This window comes from Homo sapiens, chromosome 5 (genome assembly GCF_000001405.40).
Source record: "Homo sapiens chromosome 5, GRCh38.p14 Primary Assembly".
NCBI classification, from domain to species: Eukaryota; Metazoa; Chordata; class Mammalia; order Primates; family Hominidae; genus Homo; species Homo sapiens.
The window spans coordinates 154,082,585-154,090,171 of record NC_000005.10 but is presented as its reverse complement, the minus strand read 5'-3'; the positions used below and the strand labels follow the sequence as shown (position 1 = coordinate 154,090,171).

Genomic DNA, 7,587 nt, shown 5'->3' with positions numbered 1-7,587 from the left:
CTTTTGCTCAAGAGGACATCGTCTGAGAATCATGCTAGGTATCTCTTATCTCCAGGACCCAATGCAGTAAAGTATGGAGCAGAATCAGAGCAAGACTGATCCCAGGCAGAGCTCCAGGCAGGAGTGGTTGTCAACAGGCACTGGAGGATGTGCTGGGTTTAAATCTTATCAACCAAGAGCAATTCTTGCAAATGACAGTGACAGATAAATTGCTTGACTTCTTGGAATACCACCCAAGGACACTTGGGCACAGAAACACACCCACATGCACACAGAATTTTGATTTCTTTATCAAGCTTCAGAAAAGTTGGAAAGATAAAGAGCCATCCTTGATACCAACACATCTCTTTCTCTAATTGAACATCCCCAGCAGGAGTCTGAGGTCACAGCACTAAGCCAGATGGCCCCAAATTTTCTGAATCTGACTTTTCAATATCTCTAATAGTGTGAGGAAACTGCACAGTACCATACAGACATCAGGCATGTATTCTAATGTTACTCTTGCCCTGGGATGGCATTCACTCAGTGAGCTTCAGTGTTCAAGACTGGCCACTAGGCTTCTTTGTTTGCAAATTGCGGATTGGCTCAAGTTAACTCAGGCCCAAAGGGGACCTGGTGGAAGACTGTGGGGCTGACAGAATCAAAGGAAAGGTGGGCACCTCAAGCAGGGCTAGCAGAGGGATCCAGGGCAAGAATGGACTCACTCCCTAGGGACTCCATCTGGTGAGTCTGTGCCATGGTTTTCAGTTCCTGGTGATTGTGCTCAGGATTTAAATCCCTGAGAGGTTCTCATGGCATGAATTAGCTCTTTCCTTGGCCAGAGAATGGCCAGCACTAACAGGCCCGCCAGACTGCATGGTATGGGAAAGGAAGTTTCTTCAGAGAAACATTGATGTACTATTAGCAATAGAACGGGAAGAAGGCAGGCAAGCAGAAACAACAGATGTCTGCTGCAAAGGCCTTGCCCAAAAGAGGTTCCGGCCGTCCCTGCTGTCCCAAGTCCCATGACTCCTAGCGCACACTATCCCCTCTTCTTTACTATTAGGTTGGTGCAAAAGTCCTTGTGGTTTTTGCCATTTCTTTTCAATGGCAAAAACTGCAGCACCAACCTAATATATTCCCCCTTCCTCCAGTTCACACCCTGCACACACCAGGATAGTTCACACCCTGCACACACCACGATAGTTCACACCCTGCACACACGATAGTTCACACCCTGCACACACCAGGATAGTTCATACCCTGCACACACCAGGATACCCTTGCTGCCTACCTCTGCAGGGTCCCCAGGCCCATGTCATATGAGGTGGACCCTTGTGGATCTCTGCCTATGATGCATCATGGTTTGGTTTAAATTGATTGACATGGCACAACGAATAAGGTTTATTGAGGAAATGGAAAACTTACAAAGCTGGTGCTTCTATACTTCACAGGGAGGAGCCATTTCTGGGCCTGCAGTAAGGATCTGATTGCCAGTAGGGACCAAGTGGGCCCTGTTCTTCTCCCATTTGTAGACCAAAAGTGAGAAAACAGTCTTTGAAGAGGGTGGAACACATAGGCTACTCGGTGCTATCAGTCCAGAATTATGGGGCCAACCATGTAAAGAAATAGTGTGGGGACACCAGCTGTCCTGCAATTCATCTTACGGTGCATAGAAAATTAGAGTCCTCCCTCCCAGGTGAAGGAAGCCAGCAGTCCTGTAGAAAGCTGAGTGTGGGGGCAGCCCTTCTGGTGTGGAGAAGGAGGGGGGATCCTGGTCCTAGCTAGCTTGTTTTCGGGCAACCCAGGACGGACAATTCTCCTAGCTGCGCCACACATACCCAACTTATAGTTCCTTCACTGATACACACTCCCAAGCTCTAATACCCACAAATTAGACATCTTCCATTTCTCTGAACACCTTATTAGGGTTCCCTTGAGAATTTTCCCTCTCTTTCCTATGTTGGTCTTTATTCATCTCCTCCGAGCCTCATACCCTAGATTTTAGAGGCCCATGTTCCTGTCTTCTCTACTGGACTATAGTCTTATCAAAGGTATTTTCCATATGCCTCTTACCTTTGTAATTTTGTCATTAATTAAGTGTTTGATCCAAATAGGCCCTCCACACAACATAGAGTTGATGAAAGAGTGAATGAATGGTTCAGCTGCAAGATGTAAATCTACTCAGAAATGAAATGAGGATGGATCATCCAAAGTAGCTCTCTAAGAAATGTGAGGAGGCGGTATGGATGACAACACTACCAGGGATAGATGAATGGCAGGAAACCTTGTATGGTTTTGGGGGTGGAGTGGTAGAGATGGTGTTGTTGAAAACATTGATTCCCTCAACGAATATTGTCGGTCATCTTCTACACATCAGACCCTGGGCAAATCCATGGAATATACCAGTGAATAAGGCATTTAGGATCCTTAACCTGAAAATGTAACAGGATATTCTTTAACTTCCTTTAAACCCTTAGAATGAGTTTTCTTTGCTTCACTAAGTCCTTAATACTCCAAGATAAACTGGGCTGTCTCAGATCCAGATTTACTAGTGCATGACATTGAATCAGAGGGAAACCTGGACCAAAAGGTGCCTGTATTTGTTAAAGATTAAAAAAAAAATAATAAAAATCTCGTTTCTTTCTGTCTTTTAATCTGCACACATTCACATGGTTGGTCACATGGAAGTTGAGTCAAGATTTGCTCTGCACAAGCCAGTTATTATGCCAGAGTCACAGCAGGGGGTGGCATTGTTTTGACAGACTCACAGGCTCCAAAATGTAAATGGCTTAAATGTAACATGCCAGCTCTGTGAGCTGTCACTCAGAAAGTGCTCAAACCTTTCATCTGTCCAGAGTGAAGTCTGATCAACGGTTGGGTAGGGGGTCTGGCTTCAGGTCCATGCCTCTCTTACTCTCCAGCTCTGGGTTTGGGAGAGAGATGGGAGACAGAAGGCACTGGATTATTTTGAAAACCTTAGCTTCATCACTAAGAATAAAGCTTAGAGATTGTAAAGCATAGGGCCCCCTTTTCTATAGCTAGTATGGGTGAGGAGCCTTATTAGTGCCTTCTCTAATCACTTTGTTGGTTCAGTTCCCTATCCATCCTCACTTTAGTCACCCATTTGGATTAAGGAGCCCCACAGGAGGGAAGCTCCTTTTCCTATTGGTCACTGACATATGGAGGGAAAAAGTGGGGGTTACACACACCATATGTCAGTTAGTTTAGGAATGTTGGTTTCTGTTTCACAAATGCATGTTTAAGTCACAGGTGTTTGAATGAGGATCAAGAACTACACAGTTGATTGAATGATTCATTTATTTTTAAAACCTAGACTCACTCCTCATGTCTCAAGCCCAACATCTGCTCCTCTGGGCCCCACCCAGCCAGAATTTGGCACTTGCCGTATACACCCACGCTTGTGTGTACTTCTGGAAAAGCATTTGTCGGACCATATTATAGTTGTTTGGAAGATCCTTCCATTGTTCATCAGTCCATTGCCCTGAGAACGGGGAGCCCATCTTATTCTTTTCTATATTCTTAGCACCTAGAAAATATTCAGTAAATGTCTCACAAATTAAGGAATGAACACCTAATTATACAAGTACCTCATAGTATGGTAGTTTTGAGAGAAAGAGGTGGGAAAATTTGCAGGGGTTGGGAGAGGAGAGTAGTTCTGAGAGCCAGAAGGAAACAGAGAGCTAAAGGGAAAAAGAAAGAGGCACCGACAAAAGAAAGGGAAAGAGCAACGCTCCAGGAGGGAGACTCAAACTTAGAAGGAAGGAGGTCATTGGCTTTGGGTATGATTCCAGGAAAACATTGGTCAGACCCTGCTGTTCCCTGGAGCTTAGAACTGAGAGTGGATTCCAGTTATCACTACTCTCTGAAGTGCTAATTAGAGGATTAGCTATTGTTCAGAGCTCTTTAGCCACTCTTTATCTCTCCTAGCTCCATTCTGAAGGGGACGACTGCAGGGGAACTAATTTTCTGTACTGCAGCCCAAAAGCCAGAACACTACTACAAGAGCTGGATAAAACCAGATTTGGCTCCTTGAGATGGTTCACTGGGTCTTCTTTGTCTCTCTGGTTGAAAAGCAAGGTTTTTACATCTACCTTTGATCATCGATAGAACTGGATCTCATTCTCCCTACTCAACCACATCTGTCAGCAAAGAGAGAAAGAGATACAGAGAGAGAAAGGCAGAGGAAGAGAAAGGGAGTTTTCATCTCCTATTTACTAGGCTCTTACGGTGTGCTAGCCACCACTCTCAGCAAGTTATGTGTATTGTCTTACTTAATCCTCACCTCAGAGGAAGCCATTTTTAATCACTCCCATTTACAGATGAAAGAATCGAAACTCAGTATAAATGAGTTGCCCAAGGTCACATACCTGGTTCTCACTGGAGCCCGTATTTGAAACCAGGATGGTCTGACTCCAGAACCCATGCCATTCACCATGACCTTGCTGAGCTATCACCTACCAAAAGACACTGGTGGGTCTGAGAGGATGAGGATGATACACGGCAGCTAAACTGTTATTACTGAGTGTTTATTTTGTGCCCAACGTGGCACTAAGGGATTCACACACATTGTTTTATTAAAACTGTCTGACAACCCAGTGAGGTAGGTTTTATGGTTTATTTGTAGACAAGAAGCTTGAGGCCTAAAGAGGTTTAGGGACCCATCCAAGGTTGCCCAGTGTTACACAGTGGCTGAACTCAGAATTAAAACAAAGTCTGTCTGGCTCTAAAGATGATGCTAAGGCTGGGAAGGGTTAAACCAGAGGATTTCTTTATTGACTGGAGTTCACTTTGATTTATACAAACTTCCTGAAGGAAGTGTTCTCCAGGGATCTTTGATTCACTCCTCTGCCTTTAGGTAAATAAGCCATTATTATCTCCTTTCGATACTTGCAGTGGGGCCAGAGATTTTTAAGGGGGTGGTTCAAAGTCACTTAGCTTGGATATTCAGAAATGTGTTTGACATCTCAAGTCCTCCTACGGTTGCTGGGTGGTTAAGAGTTGTCTGCTCCATCTCTCTGGACTCTCTTGGCCTTTCTCCATTTCATCTCCCTAACTGGGTGCCCAGTGTCCATTTGCTGTTCCTGGTGCCTGGGGCCCTTATTACTTCTGCCTTTGCAATTTTTTTTGAAGTCCTTTCCATCATTAGAATTTGTCCCTGCTGACCCTATCAGAGGCTGAGGTCAATTTGATCAAATTCATTTACAGTTAAGCATTAATGGCATATTATAGCAATCCTTCCAGGTAAGTGCTGCATTAAAAAATACCCGATGTAAACCTGGACTAATGTTGTACACTGCAGCACAGAGGCAGGCAGCCTGAGAAATGTTTTGGTGAGGTTGTCTTGCAGGTTAGGCAAAGCACTTGACCTACACATGAAGGCTAGTCTCCCCAACACTTTCGAAACTCCCCAACAGTTTAGAAAGGTCTTCCCTGGCAGGGCTTCAGTTGCCTTAATCAGCAAAATGGGGATGGGGACTTCTGCCTGGAAGGAGGGCATAGGGTCTGTTGTTCTCTTGCAGCATTAAGATCAGTCTAATTCCAGAAATCTAATCTGAGAAGGCAGAGACTGTCAGGCAGCCAGAGAAATTAATGAGAAAATTGGAGTAAACACAACATGTGTCTTGTCAACTTGGGTTAGGAGAAGGTGACTCAGTGCCAGTCTGCAGAGTCAGGCTCTCCAGGGTGTGTACACTCAGTGTACCTGCCTCTTTGGAGGCACAGTGTACTCCGAGCTAATGAATTCAAAGCCATGGATGAGAGCTTAGAAGAGAATGCCTCTACGTGGATAGCTTCTGGAGAACCTCTCATTTACTTGAATCACATCTTAAATCTTCCCTCTGTGATCAAATTAATGAGGAGTGGCACACACACAAAGCCCCTCGGTGTGGGATGAAAAAGACATCATGCTCAATGGGAATGGCAAGAGAGAGAAAGCAGTAAGTGATTGAAGAGCTTCTGTGATTCACTGCCTGGGCATAAGCCTCACAAAGCAGGGTTTCTTCTTTTCTCTGCATTGGGAAATGCGAACATCAGGACTGAGAGAAAATGCCATTTGATCGAGTTCCTTGTAATGGGGAGAATCTCTTATAAAGGATGTACACAGGAGGAGGTGCCATTTCCTGACAAGCCATTTGCTTGAATTGATCAAATATTTTTATTCCTGGTTTACTCCTTCGAGGGAAAATTTGCTTGGCAGAAAACAAGTACAAGATGGGTGATGGGGCCTAGTCCATGGGGCTGTGCTTGAAAAGTGGGAGCAGAGAATCAGGGACAGGTATAATACAGGGCGAGGGTTGTGCAGATTGTCTTAATAACCCTAGGGCTTTTAGTGACCTGGAAAGTGAATTCAAAAGGTGTGAGTTGCCTTTTTAATAATAAAGGGAAGGAATTATACCATAGTGCAAGGTTGCAAATGCAGTGTCCACAGGGGGAAAACAGGCAGTGTAAATGAATAAATTGGGCTGTGTACAGGAAAGTCAATGGGACAAGCCTAAAGACAGATAGTACTTAAACTCAGTGTCTGAGAGTAATAGGGAATGGCGAGAACTATGGGAACTACAAAGCACCTCCACTGTAAGGGATTAACCCCAGGGAGTGGCCGAAAGAACAGGCTAACAAATCAAAAACCTGGATTAGAATTCCAGTTTCCCTCTTACTGGTATTGTGACTGTGGGCAAAATACTTAAGCTTATGAAGTGAAAATAGGAGGTCAAAAAACTGCATAAGAAGAATCCCTTGCATTGGCCAGTATAGGCTAAACTATACCATTGTAATAAACATCCACTGTTATGGGTTGAATTGTGTCCCTCCAAATCCACATGTTGAAGCCCTAATGCTCAGTACCTCATATGACCTTATTTGGGAGTAGGGATGTTGCAGATGTAATTAGTTAAAATAAGGTCATTAGAGTGGGCCCTAATAAAATATAACTGGTGTCCATATAAAATAAGGAAATTTGGACACATGTGCATGCATGCATGTGTATACACACACACACACACACACACACAAAGAATGTCACGTGAAGGTGAAGGCTGAGTGTGGGGTGATGCTTCTACAGGCCAAAGAATGCCACACAAATTGCCAGCAAATTACAAGAAGCTAGGTGAAAGGCACAGAACAGATTCTCTCTCACAGCCCTTTGAAGGAACCAACCCTGCTGACACTTTCATCTTGGACTTCTAAGCTCCAGAGCCGTGAGACAATAAGTTTCTGATGTTAAGCCACTCAGTGTGTGGTACTTTGTTATAGCACCTTTAGCAAACGAATACAGCTACTAAATCCCAATGGCTTGAAACAACAGTTTGCTTCTTGCATATACTATATGCTCATTTTGAGTTGGCAGGGGACTCTGCTATTATTGTTGTCATTGAGGTAGAGATGGTGGAGTAGCCACAATCTCAGTTTGAAGCTTCACAGTCCACAGTAGCAGATTTAAGGTCTGGTAGGCCATTCTTCATACCAGATAATTATCTGGACCAGATGATGAACACAATTAATGTCTATCACAATTAAGAATATCTGCATAGAGAAAAGGAAGATTGGATAGAAATTTTCCAAAAAGTACTGGTTGAGGTGAGGGTG

At 44.1% G+C, this 7,587-nt stretch overlaps 1 annotated feature.

Moving 5' to 3' along the window:
* Nucleotides 4,024-4,529: an enhancer, noted in NCBI's record as "NANOG hESC enhancer chr5:153465203-153465708 (GRCh37/hg19 assembly coordinates)". NCBI's record gives its function as "activates a minimal SCP1, AML or CMV promoter by ChIP-STARR-seq in naive H9 embryonic stem cells {active_cell/tissue: H9 hESC(naive)}" and the evidence as "EXISTENCE:reporter gene assay evidence [ECO:0000049][PMID:30033119]".